Source organism: Homo sapiens, chromosome 1, assembly GCF_000001405.40.
Source record: "Homo sapiens chromosome 1, GRCh38.p14 Primary Assembly".
Taxonomy (NCBI): domain Eukaryota; kingdom Metazoa; phylum Chordata; class Mammalia; order Primates; family Hominidae; genus Homo; species Homo sapiens.
Window position 1 is genome coordinate 50,134,206 of NC_000001.11, and position 20,754 is coordinate 50,154,959.

Consider the following 20,754-nt stretch of genomic DNA (forward strand, 5'->3'; position numbering starts at 1 on the left):
CTCAAGAGTTTGCTGCGACTGAGCCACTAGCCAGGCATTTTATAAATATACAATACTAATGTTTACATGAATTGTGCCATTGGCTATTGTTTATGCATTTAATTGGAAAGATAAGTCTGGCTTAATCAGTTTGTGGGCAGTTTTTCAAATGATTCATTAATTATGAGAAAGACTGTTCTTTGTATGGAAGATGAAGATAATGTATTTCCCATCACAACTGGTTCCCATCCCAACAAGTATCCAGAGATTATTATTAGGCATTTTAGTTATTTTATCCACATTAAACCTTCAGAGTTCAGAGGGTCTTAGGGAGCAGAATGGGAAGAAATTGTTTTCCAATCGATTTTCTTTTTATTAGAGCTGATACTTTTGCAGGAAAGCTGAGCTTGCCCACAAAATTGTATTTTTATTAAAATGCAAACATTTGTCTTTTTCAAATCTGACTTAAACAAAGAAAGCTTATTGAAAGTACGGTACTGTATTTATTTACTGGCCATTTTGGAAAGGAGAACCGAATTGTGGGGGATGAAGGAAACGTTCCCTCATCTTTATAATGTGCTGAATGATCAAGCTGTCCCTCAGCTATGGAGAGTTTGTTGTAAAAGTCAGTTAAAACCAAATACCCAGGGGTCTTACCAGAACTGCATCAGGATGGACACACCAGGAAATCATCTTAGGCCCAAAATGAAGCTCTAAAGAAACACTGTAAAATGTAAAGGAGGCCAGTATTTATTTAGGAGGGGAAATGGGTGTGATGTGTCTGGGGAAGAAGATTAAAACTTGGATTTCCGTGAATTTGAGAATGATGCCTATGAGAAATTAAATTTTGATTATGCTTTTCATATCCGTGCTGGCCCTGCTATTTTAAGTATTAATGCCTCTTGTTCTCTCCAGTGGCTGCTGATTTTTTAAAAGCCCTGACTACCACCACTGAGAATACTTTTGGCATGCCTGGTGTTCATCTCCAGAGCAGAAGTTGCTGTTTGAAAGAAGGGATGCCTCACGCTTACCTCATTGTTACAAATATAAGTTCCTTTTAGATTATAAAGCGCTATATTCTCATTGTAGAAACAAAACAAAGAGTTGACAAATAAACAAGTCATTTGTTTAGGATGTAGGCATTTATACCAGGAAAAGGACAGTCAGTTCAGTATCAAAACAGGTAGGATTAGTCTGAGTGTATACGATTTATATGCTTTTGCTGAGGAGGGGGTGTCATTTGAGAAACTCTGAAGGAGACTGCTTAAAACAAAGGGATATACAATTGATTTTAATGAATTATTTGTTTGCCTGCCCTCCTCTGCCATCCTCCCAGCTTCAACCCTCTACAGGGAGGGACCAGATTATTTTTGTTTTCCCACCTTCTAGAAGAATGCCTTGGCTTATAATTGCATTCAATAAACTTGTGTTGAATTGAATACACTTGTTTTAAGGATATGCTGAGAATTTATTACCACATAACTTCCCAGAGTAAATAGGTCTTTCAGGTTATTTGTGCCTCTGCCCAAAGGTATTATTAAGCTGTCAGCATGTGTTTCTTGGATGGAATTAAATATTTTTTTCTAGAGTTTTCTAGTTACCTTCTGGCAGAAGCTACAGAAACATGGTATGAATGGTTTTGGGAAACATGAGTGCAGTCTTTAGCCACAGTCCCCTAGTCCAGTGGTCTTTGTGAGTCATCACCTGTAATTTGGTTGGAAGGGTGGTATTTCCAAGTTCCCTTTTCCTAGAGTTATCAGATCATCAGTCTCAGCTCCTCCCCTTGGGTCCCATTAATAACATATGTCTCCTTCACAGTTGAATCATAACCAGGAAAGTGTTGCATTTCAAAAAAAAATATTAACCTGAAGGGACTTGAGCGAATTAAAGCCTCTTGAAAAGAAGGACGGGAGAGAATAGATTTTATGAGCTGATCTAAGACACTTTAAAGAAATATGAAATTGGGGAATTGTAACGACATTTTTAGTATCTTTTAAGGAGCAAGAAGAGAAGTGAGGAATTTTACAAAAAAAAATAATGTCTGTCTTCAGGAACACAGAGCCTGCTGTGTAATTTTCTAACTTTGGGAATTTGTTTTTCAGGCTTGGAAAGGTGGGTGAGATGCAGTAGTCTGGGCTATTGCATCCACCAGAGTCTAACATACTACATGTCAGAATTTTACAAGGGTTAAGTGGGAAATTCCTACAAAGAGAATTAGGACTTTTATTTTTGTTCTCATTAATAATTTAAATCTATTTCTTTAATGGTTCAATTCAGTGACTGCCCTTGGTAAACATTATTCTTCATGCACCTGAGAGAGCTTGTTCTATTACATAAGGGTTAGCTTTATACATATATTTTCAAAAATCCTTCCAACATGGTAAAAGAAAACACCTTTACATACTCATTAAAATATTTAATAAAATACATGCATGAGTCTCAGGTGTACACACCTGAGACATGTTTGCAATCAGTACATTCCTTTAACATCTTTCTCGTTTCTGGGAATACTGACTTTTAAAGGTAGCTGAAAGTAGAGGATAAGGGTATTTGTAAAAGAAACATCATGTTCTGTGACCTTCTTTGGTTCTTTCCTCTTGATCCTTTCGCATGAATTGTGCAGTGAGGCTATATCTCCGCCAGAAAACCAGGAGTTAAGGACTGCCAAAAGTATGGTGACAGGTGTACAAGAACCCTGCACTGGGCTCTTAGATGATGAATGTCAGTACTGAGTTCTGTATCAGGTCAGATTCCTGTAATGTAAAGTTGTAACCTTTGATTTGCCTCATGAAGTAAATCCTGAAAGTAGGTGTAGGTTAACTAGATTAAAATATCTAAATGCAAAACAATAACGTGGGGTCGTATGTAGGTAAAGTGGAGGGGATAGGGTAAGACAGGGTTCTAAACCTTGCTATTAAGAAGTAAAAGAGTGTTAGTCTACACTGAAGTATTCCAAAAATGTCACAGGCTTGAATGGGAAGGAACAGTTTGTGGACTTTCCATCTTTATTTTTATACTACCATTTTTAGGGAAAATATTAGGACAAGGACACAATATGGTGTGGTTGGCAGGATGGTAAGAAGACTATGGTAGCAACAATGATTCTCCTCCACTGTGAGGAGGGGGATCAATCCTGTAACTCTAGCCTGATTGCCCCAAACTTGAGAAAATTAAAGCTTTGTGAAGAGTGGAGGATGGAAGGAGGTGTAAGAAAGTCATGAGCTAATGGAATAAATATTAACTACTCAGGAGGTTGAGGTGGGAGGATCACTTGAGCCCAGGAGTTCAAGTCCAGCTGGGGCAACATAGAGAGACCCAGTCAAAAAAAAGGGAAGGAAGGAAGGAAGGAAGGCAGGAAGGAAGGAAAAAAAGTTTTAAGGGAGCTTTAAATACATTTTTAGTACATCCGTACACTTTTAGATTTTAGAATAGTCTTGCTTAATATACTTCAAAGATTTTCCTAGTCACAAGACATGCTGCTGTCTCTTCTCTGACATGTGGACCCTTCATCAATAAATATTTATTTGATTAGTAAATTAATGAATTCTGAGAGCAAGAAATCATATGAAAAGAGTGGTTTGGGAAGGAAGGAAAGGTTTTACTTTTGATTATATTGCTAATCAGCTTTTCTTGTCTAACTCTTAACCTAGTTTCTTAGGTATTGGTTTTTATCTTTCTCCTTGTTCTCTTCTAATAATATTAGCATCAGTCACCACTAGCATCTGTGGAGGGATTACCATGCCAGGAATAGTGCTGAGTGCTCCATGTACATTATCTCACTGAGTCCTTTTTATACCAGTAAGAGCAAAGGCTGCCCTGAACCACCAGGTTCTATTCTTTTCCTTTTGACTCATTAAATAGGGCTGAGATAAAAGTGTGGAGGGGCCGAGTGAAGATGATTGACACTATATGCTGCCAACATGCTTAATTAACAGTTCTCAGCCACCTTGGTGTGAGGTAGGTAGAGGGCAGAGGGTAGGTCAGTGGAAGGGCTGGGGTAAGGCCGTATTCTAAACTTTCCTATCAAGAAGTGAAAGAGTGCTAGTCTACACAGAGGTGCTCCAAAAATGCTGCAGGTTCGAATGGGAAGGAACAATTTGGGAACTTTCAATCTGGAGATAATAGATTGGCTTTAGTGAACATAAAATGCTGTTTGAGTGTACATTTTTCTGAGGATATAGGGCCAAGGCATTCAATAGGTTTTCTGAGGATATAGGGCCAAAGCATTCAATAGTAGACTCATGCCAGCCAAAGCTTTAACCCTCCTGCTTGAATGAGTGCTTTTTTTTTTTTGAGGTGGAGTCTTGCTCTGTCACCCAGGCTGGAGTGCAGTGGCGTGATCTCGGCTCACTGCAACCACCGCCTTCCAGGTTCAAGTGATTCTCCTGCCTTAGCCTCCCAAGTTGCTGGGATTACAGGCACAGGCACCCGCCATCATGCCTGGCAAATTTTTGTATTTTTAGTAGAGGTGGGGTTTCTCCATGTTGGCCAGGTTGGTCTCAAACTCCTGATCTCAGGTGATCCTCCCACCTTGGCCTCCCAAAGTGCTGGGATTACAGGCATGAGCCACCACACCTGGCTAATGAGTGCTTCTTAAAATCTGCATTTGACATAGAGATGGAAAGTAGAATGGTAGTTGCCAGGAGCTGGGGAAAGTAGGGGAATGAGGAGGTATTGTTTAATGGGTATAGAGTTTCAGACTTACAAGATGACAAGAATTCTGCTGGTGGCTGCAAAGCAATATGAAGGTACTTAATGCCACTGAACTGTATACTTTAAAACTATTTAGTTGGCAAATTTTGCTATGTGTATTTTACCACAATTTTAAAAATTGAAAAAAAATCTGCATTTGAAAGAATATTTAAGTGTATGCCTGGCATATAATAGGTGCTCAGTAGGTGACTGGTTGCTTACCTGTCCTGTTCTTTTGTTATCTGTAAAATGGGGATGATATTAGTACTTTATTGGCTTGTACTTCACAGGGTTGTTTGAGAGATCCAGTAAGCTAATGGACATGTAAGGACTTTCATTCATTCTACAGTCCTTTATCTGGGACCTACCGATTGTTAGGCTTTATTCTACATTCAGGAGATGCTGTAATAAACAAAACAGATGTGATCTCTGTGCTGTGGACCTCACAGTTCAGGTCATGAATTTTAATGAACTGTAAAGTGCTATACTCAGAAAAGTATGGAGGTAGACATGTCTCCACAAGTCTGTTGAAGTACATTCTGGTCCTCCACTTTAAAATTACAGGGTTGGGCTTCATGGACCCTAATGTTCTCTGGTATCTGTTGAATTCAAGAAGGGTCTGCTCTTTGTCTTTGTTATCTCTGTATCCCCAGAGTTCAGCACAGATCTCGGCTCCATCTCTGTTTATCTAACATACCCAGATCTAGCCATAGTGGAAGTAAACCCTTTTTAAATGTGCGTATGACCTGACATATCCAGGAACTAGTGTTACAGGTAACTTGGGTAGATAAAAGGAGCCTGGATTGTGTTGAGAGAGGTGCCAGAAGGGAACAGAGGGGTGGCTTTTTAGTTTCCAAGAGCAGGAGGCTGGCTGAGCCTCTGCTCCTTACCTCCCCTCTGCAGATATAAACGACCCTGGTGATGATCCGGCAGCTGCACGTCTGAAGCCTTCCCTCTTGCTTTTGTTGTATATTTTGCAGAAAAGAGTGGTGGGAGGGGTGAGGTTAATGCATTGAGTGTGAGTAATTAGTCATTCAAACCATCGACATTTACGATGACAGGATTTGAGTGCCTACGTTATTGTGCACCGCTCTAATAGTTTATCCCTGAAATTTTCTGCCTGTATAATGTTTCTTAAAATATATCACAGAAACATAAAAGATTTAATGTAGTGCTTTGTACATCCATTAGAGTTCGAAGTCAACTGAACCTCCTCAATGATCTATCCTGGATGCTGACTGTAATTCTGTTCTTAATTGCTATTCAAATGAGGAAAGGAGGGCAAGTCAGGGGCTTGGAACCTGGTCAGCTGCAAAGTTGGCTGTGAGACCCACACAGAATGTTTCATTAAAGTACATATGCACACTTGAGTAACTGATATATTTATTTGCAATGAAAATTGTGCTGTTAGAATATCAAAGGCGTTAGCCTGAGGAAGCAAGTGTTCTGATTTTGCCCAGCCAGCCTCTGTACTTACTGGAGGATGTGCTTTCTACCAACACACATCTTTTCTACTCCTGTTCTGTCCCTCTGTTTCCCAAGCAGAGAGAACAGGTGTCCTGTCTTTGAGGTCTATCATGTAACCTTAAAATGCTGTAGTTTCATATTCGTGCATTTAATATCTTTACATCTTGGCAACTTCTCTTATTTTCCAGGTAATGTTTTAAAATCCTCTTGTTTCATTCACATGTCAGATTTGATTCTGATGTTTTACATTTCTGATTTTTTTTTTCAGCCTGTGTTGCATCCTAAGATGCATCATTAAGACCTGTGAGGGGTCTTATTATAGGATGTATATTAACACATTTGCAAATGTTTCTCAGCTTTCAGACAGCACACTTTTATTGAGAAAACTCTCTTTGTATGTGTCCATTTGTGTGTTTTCATCAGTTCCTTCTGGATACACAAAAGAATAACTGTGTAGTGTAGATGCAGAGCAAAGAGAGCTCCATCTACATTGGATGAGAATGACTTGACCTAATTTATAGATGTGGTCAGCTAAAGTAGCTCAGTAGTGAGCATTGTATCTCATGGCTCCTTTTAGAAGCTAGTTGGGACCAGTTGGGCTGTCTAATCTACAGACAGGACTCACCTCCTGGAGTCAACATAGATTAGGAAATCCACATAGAATGCAAGGAAGGCCACAAAGCTGATGCGGGGACTGAAATTACTTTGCTGCAGCCTTGTTACTTCACAGGCCTTCCTGGAGGAGGTGGACCTGTGAGATGTTCACATGGACAAGTGCTGGCTTTCACCACGTGTCTGAAAACGAAAGATGAACCTGACTATCAGGTGACCTTTATGAGTTTTGGTCCCACAGAATCTCAACATGAAATTCTTCCACATACTCCATCACTAGCACCAAATAAGCTGCCTTGGTGTGGGATATTTTCTAGGTGTTTGTTGGGGAGCTGAAAGAAGGGTAACCTGAAAAAGGTAGAAAACAGAGAAGAGTTTCTAAAGATTGTGGGCCTGGGGGGTTTTTGCCATTAAATCGAATGTAGTAGTCCGGCCTCCTGAATGGATAAATTCTGATTTTCATGTTCATTATCGAGTTGGCAGTGCTTCTTATGTTTGTTGCCTGGACACCTGACTCAGTGAAGCAGTGAGACAACACAGCAAATGGAGGCACTGCAAAGACCCAGAAGGCCCCACAGCTTGGCAGAGCTGAAACCTGCCTCCTAGCCAGGAGTTGTGCTGATGCTCTGTAATGCCATCCCTTTAGCATGCCTCCTTCCCTGGGGACCATCTCCCTGATTCTTTTCCTGGACCCTTGCCTCGAAGGCAAAGTGGCTGAATAGGCTTTGCTGGGTACAACTTCTATCAGTCCTGAGGGGAGCTTGATTTAAGATTCTTCTCAGAAGCTTTTTGCTTTCTCCTTGCTGTCTGGACCAGCCTTCTAGAATCCTAAAGTTGACCTGAAGCCAAGAAGAAAATTCTGGTGATGGGAGAAGTGGAGCCACTTAAATTACTTACATGATGGTAAAGAATCTTAGATGCTCCCCATCTTTCTTAGTCTGCTTTATTTCCTTGGCTCCTCTTGAGCCATGTTTTCCTTTTTGTTTCATTTATCATTTGTGACCATCAGAAGATGAAAGAATTAGAATAACACTCACCTACGTGGGGCATGATGAGGAATAATAGTTATGATGCCTCTGGGCCCTTTGTATTTTAGACATTTAATGTACATTATCTCTCATCCTGAAGATAACCCTGCGTGGCAAGCTTTTTATTCCAGTTTTGCTGAAGAGGAAGCTGAGGCTCAGAGTATTGAAGTAACCTGCCTCAGATCACACAGCTAATAAGTGGTAAAACTAAGTTTTTTGTTTTTTTGTTTTTTGAGACGGAGTTTCACTCCTGTTGCCCAGGCTAGAGTGCAGTGGTGCAATCTTGGCTCACTGTACCCTCTACCTCCCAGGTTCAAGTGATTCTCCTGCCTCAGCCTCCCGAGTAGCTGGGATTACAGGTGTGCACCACCACACACACACAGCTAATTTTGTATTTTCAATAGAGACTGGGTTTCTCCATGTTGGTCAGGCTGGTCTTGAACTCCTGACCTCAGGTGATCTGCCCACCTCGGCCTCCCAAAGTGTTGGGATTACAGGTGTGAGCCACCGCACCTGGCCTAGAACTCAGATTTTAAATCACCTGTTGTCTTGACTCAAACACTCATTCCATTTTTACTATACCACTCTGCTTCAGATGAGAAAATAAACAAAAACAAAAACAAAAAATAGTCTCTGAACATTGATGAGGATGTGGAGCAACTGGAACTTTCATACTCTGCTGGTGGGAATATAAATGGATACAGCCACTTTGAAATACTGTTGGCAGTATCTACTGAAGCTAAATATACATACACCCTATGATCCCAAAAACAGAATCCTAGGACTATCCCCAATAGAAATATGTACATTTTTGTACCAAAATGTTGTACATAACGCTCATAGCAGCATTATCTATAGTAGTTCAAAATTAGAAACAATCCAAATGTTCATCAACAGATAAATAAAATGTAATATTTCCACACAATGGAAATTGCTATAGCAGTGGGAAGAACAATGCATTGTTACATGTAACAGAGCAGATGACACTCCATACATGTGTGAAAAGGCACAAAAGAGTATGTGTTGTATGAGTCCATGTATATAAAGGTAAAAAAATAGGTAAAACAAATCTGTGGACTAGAATTCAGAATAGTGGTTACCTTTGAGGGGTGAGGTAAATGACAGGGATGGAGAACCTGAGAAAGGCATTTGGGGTGCCAGTCATGTTCTGTATTGTGATCTGAAAGGTAATTACCCAGTTGTGAATTGTGTTCACTTTGTAAACATTCTTTGTGTTGTACCCTTAAGATTTATACACTTTATTACATGTATGTTATAGTAAATGAAAATGCTTCCCCCCTAAATCCTCTGAGCAGGCAAATGGTAATAATAATGGAAGCTACTAGTTATCAGATGTCTGCTATGCCTTGGTTTCCTCATCTATAAGACATAGAGAATATTAGAATATGCTTCATTGCCTTCTTGTGAGGAGACAGTGAGAGAAGTCACATTGGATGATTGGCAGAGTAACTAATAAACATCAGTGATTGTGGTTATGTGCCCACCACTGTTCTGGTGCTTTACATAAGTCATATCACTGGATCGGTTCTTACCGCTTTGCCATACGGTGGCATTGTTCCCATTTTTCAAATGAGGAAAATGAAGACTCTTAGGATTTAAGTCCCTTGCCAAGGTCACACAGCTAGTAAGTGGCAGAGTATGATTTCATTTCCAAGGAGTTGATGATCAGTTTCTGAGGAGATGGAAGCCATTTTATGATGGACAAATAGAGGACGGTGTAAGACAAAATGGAAAGTTGCGAATTATGGGCTGCGTTTGGGGCCAGGAAATCCGGGTGCAGGCCTGGACTTTGCCCCCATTTTTCTATGATAACAGAGAAGTAACTGGACATCTCTGGGCTTCATCTCGAATGTGAGTGTTGAGCTAGATTTTGTTCCCTTATGTGCCTTCTGGCTCTGCAATTTTGCAATTCTCCATGTTTGTCATTCCATACAGGGCATCTTCATGACCTGACTTCATGAGCTTAAACTCATTTTTCATATAAAACCCTATTCCAGCATTTTCTCAGAACTGTCCCTAAATCTCCCTATCCTATAAGCAGAAGTAATTGCTTCTGTATTGCATGATCACTGCCCTATACCAGCTGTTTACCTGTCTGTGTCCTCTATAGACTATAAGCTCCCTGAGGATAGGGATTCATTCATTTCTTTATTCTCATACGTGCTACCTGGAACATTCACACCAGCCAGAAATCTTTGTTTAATTAAATATTTTAATCAAGAGAAAGTCCTTTTTGAGTAATATGTGAGTGGACAGCCTCAGGCGGTGCTGGACCTAACGTGGAGACCTAGAGAAAAGTTTGCCTCCATGTTTTTTGTTTTATTAGAGGTCTGGGAGAAACAATAACAGAATGGCTAGATTAAAAAAAAAAAGACATTAGATGACTTTGCAGCTCCCTAGAATGTACCTGTAAAATCTAAAATTTGATCAGTGATTAAGCATCAGTGAAAATTTAAACCCTTCCCATATTGAACAACCCCACTTAATTTAATGTCATTTTATTTTATGAGATAGTTAATAAACAGGTACTGTATTTGATCTTGTGAGTGTAGTCCTCTATATTTAGCTTTTTCAGCTTTAATGGAACTATAATTTTAATCATGATTATTACTTTACATTTTAATTATAATTTGGTGTGGCTTAAGTATACATTTCTGAGAGTGATTGTGTAATGAAAACAGGAATTAGCTTTTCATTAACAAAATAATGGGAGAGTTCCTACTGCATTCTAGTCTGTGTTCAAAATCTATGGGCTGGCCTAAAAATAGAAAGAGGAGTTTAACATTTTGGTTAAAAACATGCTTCTAAATTGGCTGTGTTCACAACCCAGTCTCTTGCTCCATCTTGCTTTATCTTCTTCTCTTTCTTTTCAAAAAAATTAATAAACTTTTAAAAGAGACTTTGTGTCTGAGATTTCAAAAGGCTTTTTCAATTGTTTTTATTTTTATTTAGATAATTAGCACCATGGAGCCTCAGGTGTCAAATGGTCCGACATCCAATACAAGCAATGGACCCTCCAGCAACAACAGAAACTGTCCTTCTCCCATGCAAACAGGGGCAACCACAGATGACAGCAAAACCAACCTCATCGTCAACTATTTACCCCAGAATATGACCCAAGAAGAATTCAGGAGTCTCTTCGGGAGCATTGGTGAAATAGAATCCTGCAAACTTGTGAGAGACAAAATTACAGGTATGCACAGGATTTGAAGCTATGTTGTTCCATTAGATGTGCAGATCTTAGCAGAAATGCACATGTGTGATGGTGCACCTGAATGTCTATATCATGTACCCTGCATGCAAGATGGCATGGATACACAGTCATAAACTCACACTACATACACCACATAAGACCTTATTGTAGATTGGTACTGCTGGGGAGCAGATGAAGATTTTGGTACATCTTCATCTTCATGTAAAATGATCCTTTGATTTTGTCTCCTTTTATTCTTAATCAGCCATTCCTTCCCTTTGTTCTATAGTTTCCAGTCCCACAACTCTGCCCTCCCTATACTATACACTAGTTTTTGCTCATGTATTCTCCTCCTCTCAATATTTGCTTCATGTGTGCCCAGTGTTCTTCCATGTGCCTGAAACAAGTGTTTTAAAGGGGGCCACTGTGGATGTGTGGACAGTTGACACAACTGCCCTTGTCCCTGGGGAGAAACAGGCCCTAAGGATAGCAGATTATTCTGGAATACAACTACTCTGCAGTAGGAGGGAAATGCTTAATGAAGATCTGCATTTGAGGTATTTTGTTTTATTTTATCTGTCTGTTCGTTTTGAAGATACTCTTTGAGATGTGAGGGCATTTTTACTTGAAAGTGAATCAACACCCTATACAACTTCAATACATGAGATTTTTAGGTTCTGATTTTCTCCTAATTGACAACTGTTCATTGAGAACCAAATGTTTGCCAGACACTGACACTATAATTCTTTGGGGGAAAGTTTCCCTATAATCTTATTGGCAGTGAGAATATTTTCTTGGAATATATTAGGCTACATAATGATGGCAGTGAAGCTGCTACTCTCTGATACTCCACTCCTGAAATCATTCATATCCAACTTTGAATACTTGTCAGTTTTGAGTATTGACTTTTGTTTCCCTTTCCCTAGACAGTTTAATTAATCAGCAACTGTCCTAGAGTTTTTTTTTTTTTAAAAAGGAAGCTGCATCATTAAAATAGGGATATACATCATCTTTATTTTAAATCAGAGAATACATTCTATATGTGTGTGTGTAGATATATACATTCTTCTGTTCTCATAATTCACATGTAAATCTGTTCCCCTTATAAATTAAGTAGTTTGCAAAATCATAAAACTTAAATACCACTGCTACTTTCCAAAATACAAGTCACCTAACACTCCAGACATAATTTTCTTATTTGAAAAACTGGAAGATAATGCTTGTCTCAAAGGGCTTATTGTGAGGATTAAATGAGAGACTAGATATATTGCATCTAGCACAATGTCTACTGCACAGTGGTCCCTCAGTAAATAAATCTATTATTGTAAGTACAGCTAGTATGCTTCAAGGAAAGTGGCCAGAACAGAAAAAAAAGTATCTATCAAATTCTCCAAATAGGGCCAGGCTTTGATTATCTTGTACCAGAGCACTGGAACATCTATCCTTAAACAGAATTTCCCATACGTTCAGAAAGCCAATATTTAGATTCCTGAATAATCTTTATATAATAGGATGATAATTCAAACCAAATTAAAACCAGTTAACCATATGATTCTTCCTCCTACTCCTATATAGAAAATGTATTTTTAGTATAGCCTTACCTTCAAAATACAGACTCTGCCAGCTATATTAGTGAATATTATTAATCACCTTTTCAGAATTCCTTCAGAACTGTAGCGAGATTTTTGAGAAGTACTGATTCATGGTGTTGTTCCTTGTTTTCTAAAGACACATGTTTAAACAAGCAGATTCCTTTACTGAAAGAATGCTAATTTGGTAGTTCACCGAGTGGATTTGAATAGGAGTGACAGCTTCGAAGACAGCCTTTAATTTGGTATACAAAACCAAAATTGTCAACTTTGGTTTGTTTAGCACCCTCTCCAGCACAAGCAGAGACATACAGTAGCATCTGAGCTTAAAGAAGAAGCTTATGGGGTTGAAAGCAGAAATACAATTCAGGCATAAATTTATAATTATGCATTCTTCTTAAATTCAGGCCCAAAAAATTTTTATTTGTAGAGAGCTTATGGGAATGAGGCAGGGAAATATAGAGAGAGACCAGAGATATTTGCCCTCATTTGACAGCAGTGTTTAATAGAAGTAAAACTTGTGGTTGTAAAGAGTGCTTATTAAATTCTTCATTTACACTACCTAATTAATTCTAGCATTTTAAATTAACAGTGAAACTAGTCCCTGCTGTACCATTCCATAGATGCAGCATATTTCCTCCATCCACCCGTTGTTCAGGTTTAATTGGCTATGCTAAAAGTCAGAGAAGGAGGGAGAGATAGGGCTGTGGGGAAATGGGGAAGGAGTGGGAATTGCTCTAGCGGAGGACCTCCCCGAGGCCAACATTTGGGGTTAGGTCACAATGCAGGCTGGAAGAGGTGAGGTATATCACACCAGGCAAGTGGAGAGGCTGCAGCTGGTGGTTCAGAAGTCAGGGTAAATGACATCATGGGTATTTTTGTTGCCCTGATTTTTAACATCCTAGTCCCCCTTTTTCCTCCAACACCTCCTACAGATCTCAATGCATCTCGATCCTGTGAAGTTTACAAGGAGTTCTAAATATCCAGTGGGAGGATTGGGGGGTGGGAGGTGGCAAAGAGATAAGAATTCAAGATTAAGATTTTCCAGCCCCAACCACTCCCTAAGAGAATGTAATGGATTCCCTTAGAAGGTTCTGGCTTCTGCAATGTTAAAATCTCTTTACAGAGAGAGGAAGTGACTCTGTTGATAGCCTTACCAGCAGGCTAGATTCATCCCTGGCTGTGAATTGTCAATGAATTCTCCGTTTGAGAACAGATAGAAGAAATTTGGTCATGGAGTTAAGTGTTATGTGCTGGGGACATAAACATCACCATTTATCAAGCACTTCATCTGTGCTGGATACTTGCTAAGCGCTGGACATACCCTATTTCATTTAACACGGAGCCTCCATTTTCTTAGATGAGGAAACTGAAGCTTGGTGATTTCCCCAGGCAGCATAGTTATTAGCAGGTGGTGGAGCTGGGAGTCACCCCTACTTTCCAAAAGCATGATTTTATTTGGAGGCATGTACAGGGTAAAGACCCTGCCTAACCTGCACTTCATAACCCAATGCAACATTGTGTTCTGCTGAGCAGAGGTTGCTGGGCACCCTCTGGAGAGTCTATCTAATGTACCATGGCTTTAAACAAGACTCATGTGTATAAAGGGAGCAAAGATAACAATATTTATCATCCTCTGGGGATATAACTCAGCCTTTGTCTTCCTTCAGAGTAGAACCAAATTTACTGAAAATGCCAGTTTTAAGATACCTTGCTTTTGGACATCTCTGTTACTTATCTTCTCAGAGACATTACATTTTTCTTTTTCCAATTGGGAAAGGACACTCACCAGAATAATCCAGGTACCAGGGAGAAGAAAGGCATATCCTGAGTTGCTTTTGTGTACAGCCGTGACACATCATGGCATTGGAAGCTAAGTCTTTAGCTTTTCTTCTTCATCTACCTGCAGCCTCTGCTGCTGGGGAAAACAAAGGAAGTGTCATGTGACCCACAGAGTTCATGCAACCTAGAAACTCAGGCAAAGAACACCAAATACCTGGTAGAAATTATATTATTCCCATGGACTCCAAGGAGTTGATTTAGTTTCTTATTTTTTTGTTTTGTTACCATTTTGGTTTTGGTTTTGTTTTGTAAACATTGAGATTGCCTTACTGAATCCAAGTTCCTATGTGATCAGTATTTTAGGGGAGAAAACATGTGGCTTGACCAGGGCAAGGTTAGGTGGCTCAGGGTATGTCTTGAAACCAGCAGAGCTGAATTATTATTATTATTTCTTTGCCTTTTTTGCATTTTTATAAGTGTTTATCTTGTTACCGCCCCAAAACAAATAAGGAAAGAAAAAAAAAGAAAAATCTCTAGAAAGAAATTAGGCCAGGCGCAGTGACTCACGCTTGGAATCCCAGCACTTTGGGTGGCCAAGGCAGATGGGTCACCTGAGGTCAGGAGTTTAAGACCAGCCTGGCCAACATGGTGAAACCCCGTCTCTACTAAAAATACAAAAATTAGCTAGGCGTGGTGGTGGGCGCCTGTAATCCCAGCTACTCGGGAGGCTGAGGCAGGAGAATTGCTTGAATCTGGGAGGCGGAGGTTGCATTGAGCTGAGATTGCGCTCCAGCCTGGGTAACAAGTACGAAACTCTGTCTCAAAAAAAAAAGAAAAAGAAAAAAGAAATCAGTGTAAGACAACAAACAGTTTTGACCTGCCTATTTACATTGTGTGATTATTTGCATCACAGTGATAAAAAAAAGAATTGTATTTTTACTTCATGTCACTCTCTGTGTACCCATGCATTGTCCTTTTTTTTTTTTTTTTTTTGAGATGAAGTCTCACTCTGTTGCCCAGACTGGAGTGCAGTGGTGCAATCTCGGCTCACTGCAACCTCCACCTCCTGGGTTCAAGTGATTCTCCTGCCTCAGCCTCCCGAGTAACTGGGACTACAGGCACCCGCCACCACGCCTGGCTAATTTTTGTATTTTTAGTAGAGACAGGGTTTCACCATATTGGCCAGGCTGGTCTCAAACTCCTGACCTTGTGATCTGCCTGCCTCGGCCTCCCAACGTGCTGGGATTACAGGCATGAGCCACTGTGCCTAGCCACAGTGTACTTTGTTTTTGAGGACAGGACAGACCAAACTGAACATTATCAATAACAAAACTGAATCTATTAAGAGACAAGTATATGGAACATGCTATTAATACGTAAGTGCTATAGGTGGTTGGAAGAGGTGAGGTTGGTGTTAGCTGGAGCTGTTGGGGAAAGTTTAAAAGATAGGGTAAGGATTTAGGTAGAGGAAAGAAAAGCAAAGGAATAGAGCTAAAATTTTAGTCAAAGAACAAAAGCATTTTTTATTCCTCTGTGCTTTGGACAAAAGAAGTAGCGCTGGAACATGTCTCTTTGGAAGCAGTGGTCTAATATGAAGCAGCATGGTCAAATGAAGTTAAGCATACCAAAAAATTCAGTCAGTTAGAGTTGTACCCCAATGGACAAAGACAACATTTCCTAAACACCACTTCTAATCCGTGTCTTCATTTCTTCCTTTATAATACGTCTCTTTGGTTTAATTAATATCATTTAGTGGAAAAAGAATAAGGCCAAATAAATGACCTTCACTACTGTGGGCAAGAGGGTGGATATTTTGCTGCTGCCTTTGTATCTGAATTTACAACTCTAATTAAAGGAACCAACTCAGTTTTGATGCAGTAACACTGGGTAACTTGTGTTCTTTCTTGAATTTCTGAAAGTGCTAACAATCCTGAGCGTGTCTCTCTCAGTAGGTGAGATGTGGGAAATGGACCACAGCGGTGGCCACAGTATCTATTAGAGCATCTAGGCTTTGAGTCATGACAGAGTACAGTCTATTGGGTTGAAGAGGAGAGGGGAGTGAGGGTTCTGGATTGTTTTAATGTACCTTATATACTTTCATGTACTGGACTTATAGGAACACTATGGGAATTTGGTTGAATTTTACTTCTGAGATAACTATATAAACAATAAAAGGCTCTGAAAAATCCTAAGATATAAAAATTCCTTGAACTCACTCCCAAAATGTGAATTCAGCCCCAAGGTGAGTTTATTGGCATAATTTCTTACAACACCCAGCAGACATATAAGAATAACTGCAACAGCTTTTATTTTTTGTGTGTGCCTTAATATGTTTACTGGGCACTATAATAATGCTTTAAATATAGTAGCTTATTTAAATAATAAATCAAGCTATCTTGGAGAATCATAATGGCCAATGCTTTTGAGTACTTACTGTGTGCCAAGCATTGTGCTGAGATCAGTAGACGGAGTCTCACATAATCCTCATGATGGCCATTTTACAGATGCAGAAACTTGAAATCAGGAGCAGTTGAATTACTGGCCAACGTGACTTAGCTTCCAAGTTAAGGGAGGTGGTACTTGAACCCAGCACTGACTAATTGTGAATTGTCAAATTTATACTTTATTTCTGGCAGTTTGCCCCAAAATACTAAACTGACTCCTCCCCTTTACAAACTAACTCAGCTTGTATACCTAGGGAATGAAATTTTTGAATACCGGGAAAACATAATTAGAGCTCAGAATCTTTTGTTTTGGAAAATAGCACACAGTGCATTAAAAAGATAAATTTTTGGTATTAAACAGGTCACTGCTTAGCTAAACAAAGAAGACTAGACTTGGAGTGGTTTTTTCACTTCTGATATTCTCTTTTCGTGAAATACTCTTCAGTATGTTCACCTTTTCTTTATTGTGCAGGCACTGTATTGAAATGGATGCTGCCTACAATTTAAGCATAATAAAAACCCAGCCTCATTTAGGCATATCCAAGAAAATCCCAAGATATTGATTAGCTAAATGAACTTTTCTACATGCACATAAGACGGAAAGTGATTAGTGATGGGAAGAGTACAGCAAATGGTAGCATTTATCAGCATATTTTGCTGCTGATTTGGAAAATGTGCTTAGTACAATGTGATGTATCTCCTGATTTCAGAGGAAAATCAGGCAGATTCGCATCTGTCATTTTATTTACCACCTCCCTGCAGTCATACATATTCTACAAAGAAGAATAAAAGAGTTTTGATTTGTTGACTCGGGAAGAGGGGGTTGGCTATTGTTGGAGGTGAGTGGAAAATTTTTAGGTATGGAGAAGATTTGGCAGCCTAATGGGGTTGCAAAACAGGAGAATTGGAGTCTGCCTTATTAAGGGGAACTTGAAGAACGTCAGAACGTGTAGTGCAAACAGTAAACCATGTAATCATTGTGCTTCTTACACACTCATCAGGGGGAATCAGAGACTTTCCATCCTTTCTAATTAGGGCAGGTTGGCAGTTGAGTGGAGCTGTGAGGTTTAGGGTTTGTGCAGGTACATTATGCATCTTCTGACACAATTTTTTCCCAGGATGTCTGTAGTCAGGATTACAGACCAGGTATGGTTTCCTTTTGCCTCCTGGCTGTGTTCCCCTTCATCTTACCTTCCAAATCAGACAGTTCTGCCCTGCTTCCGAACTCAGATAACCGTAGGAAAGTATTCTCACATCCCAGAAGAGATGTCTCAAAGGATTTTTACCTAGGATGTGAATCAGGCTGGGTATTTTAAGAATTTTCTATTTCTGTACTTTAGCTGACTGTTTGGTTCGTAAGACCAATTCCCTGTTCACGCAGCCTTCTCTTCTTCCCCCAACACACACACACACACACACCCACACATTCACTCACTCACTCCTCCCTTCTCTGTAGAATGCCCTGGTTGATTGAGACTAGGAACTAAGGAGGAAGGTAATGTCAAACTGAAATTTCCACACATTATCTAAAAATGTAATTCATCAGCTTCAGGGTAGGAGGAAAGTGCTTTCTGAAATGTGTTAATGGGAAATTCATTTTCTTCTTGTCTTCTGTGAGGTGTAGTAGTGGTGATTTCTTTTTCCAATCTGCCCCCTCGCCCCCATTCCACATCTCCCTGACTGCTCTTAACTGATAAACTCTGTATCTGTGTTTATTCCTCGTAAGAACTAAAGATCATTAAGTTGCTTTTTCGTTTTTTCTACAGTCCCAAAATTGAGCTTTGATAGGAGAAGATATTTCTAGTTTGGAGAGAAGATAAAATTCAGATAGAGATCATATATTTGTATAAGGTTTTTATATTTGTAAAACATTTTCAATCAACCAACAGTATTTATTTAGTGTCTACTCTCTCAGACCAAATAGATATTATTCCCTTTCCTTCCCTTCTCTGAAATTCTGTATCACAGTCTGTGAGGAGGTCAAAATGGATAAGTCATAGTTTGTGCCCATGTGTTGCTGCAGGACCAACGAGCCAGGGAAACCAGAACAAATGACAGCCCTTCATGAAAGTCTGGAAGTGACGGGGAGCTGGCTGCTTATTATGCATATTAACTACACATCTACCTTGCTGTTTTGTGGGCGGGGGCAAGAGGGAAGTGGAGGTTGTTTTGTTTTGTTCTTCACCAAGGCCCAATCTTACTTTTCCTTGGTCCTGGCTATTAATGTCATTGGAAGGATGGTGAAAAAGGATTCATAATGATACAATGAAGTTGGAGGTTTGATGGAATGCCTACTGCGTGTCAGCTACAGTGCTAGGCATATTATAGATGTTATCTCATTGAAGCTTTATATCAGTGTTGCCTGATCAGTGATTTTATTCCCATTTTGCAGATGCAGAACCCAAGACCTAGAATTAGTCAGCTGGTGAGTGGGGTTAGGGCATCTGACTGCAAAGTCTATGGTCTTTCTGTTACCATACCACTCTGTCTGTGCTGAATGAAGACAACATCAGTTATGGGTGTTCAAAGGAGAAAAAGATGACAATAGACTGAGATTCTCAAAGCAAGTGTCAAAGAAAAGCGAGCCTTCAACTTGGCCCTGAATTTGGTAGAGATTAGATTGTAGGAGACCAGTCCATGCAGAGGAGGCAGCTGAGCGAAGCTTCAGAGACATTGTTATGGAATGAATGTTTATGTCCCCGCAAAATTCTTATGTTGAAGTTCTAACCCCCAATGTAATAGTTTTTGGAGATAGGGCCTCTGCAGAAGTAATTAAGGTTAAATGAGGCCATAATGGTAGATCCCTGATCTGATAAGATTAGTGATCTTATAAGAAGAGGAAGAGAGACTGGAATTTTCTCCATACATATGCAACAAGCAAGAAGGCAGCTATCTGCAAGCCAGAAAAAGAGCCTTCACTAGAACCCAACCATGCTAGCACCCTGATCTTGGATTTCCAGACTCCAGAACTGTGAGAAAATAAATTTCTGTTGTTTAAGCCACCCAGTCTGTGGTATCTTCTTATAGTAGCCCAAGCTGCCTAATACAGACATCTTCAAGAGATAATGAATAGAACAGGCAGGACTACTCTGTCGGGTAAATGGGGATACCACCTTTGTGTCAGTGAAATATCTGAAGCTCAGAGATGTTAAATAATTTATCCAGGGTCACAGTTAATAAGCGGTGGAGCTGATATTTGAACCCAAGTCTGATTCTGAGGTCTGCGTTCCTTCTACTTTGCTAGTAACTAACTCTACCTAACACAGAAGGAAGTTGACAGCTTTCAGACTTCCCATGGCGTCTGTGATCTGAGAACCATTATTTATCTCTCTAAGGTGATGTACCCATTTGCTCAGTGACTTGCTTTCCACCTACTTAGTTCTTGCGGATTTCTAAGTTGAGTTTTCTGCATGTCCCTTATTTTGTAGTTGAATGTCTGGTGAGATACAAGGCCTCATAAACACAAAGTGGATACAGCTAGCTAGGGTAATAACTCTAATTCCTATGGCCGCTAATGGAATTTCTCATCACAAACTTCTGGAATCAGATTAAATAATTTTATTGGTGATATAAGCATAAAATATACACTTAGCAATCCCTGATATTTGCCCTTAGTGTTTGTTTTCAGAGGCTTTTATACTCAGTACTTCCTTTGACGAGTCAAGAGCACTTGGCTGCTTATTTTTCTTGCTCTTTCTTCCTCTCTTTTCTTTGCCTGGTTTGTTGTTGTTGTTATATTTTGTGTGTGTGTGTGTGTGTGTGTGTGTGTGTGTTTGTCCTGCTTCCTCTTTCTGCCTTCTTGTTTTTTGACATGTCACTTTGATCCAAAAAGGATTTTCATTGGCTTATTAGATAGTATGGAAAAAACTAAAATTGAAATAGCCATCAATTTTTTTAAAAAACAGAATAGAAGGAAATGGATATAGAATGGTAAAAGGAGACCAGAG

General features: G+C 39.6%; 1 protein-coding gene across 29 annotated transcripts in view; it reads left to right on the forward strand.

The window, feature by feature from the left end:
• ELAVL4 (ELAV like RNA binding protein 4) overlaps positions 1 to 20,754 on the forward strand; it is a 155,718-nt gene that overhangs the window by 86,151 nt on the left and 48,813 nt on the right. For 23 of the 29 annotated variants that reach the window (NM_001324208.2, NM_001144777.3, NM_001438739.1 and 20 more), the window contains exon 2: positions 10,752 to 10,992. In NM_001324208.2, coding sequence (NP_001311137.1) covers positions 10,752 to 10,992 — 241 coding nt within the window. Of the gene's footprint in view, positions 1 to 7,566; positions 7,654 to 10,751; positions 10,993 to 20,754 lie in introns of all 29 variants that reach the window. The other 6 variants (NR_136725.2, XM_011540895.4, NM_001324212.2 and 3 more) reach the window with 1 other exon arrangement.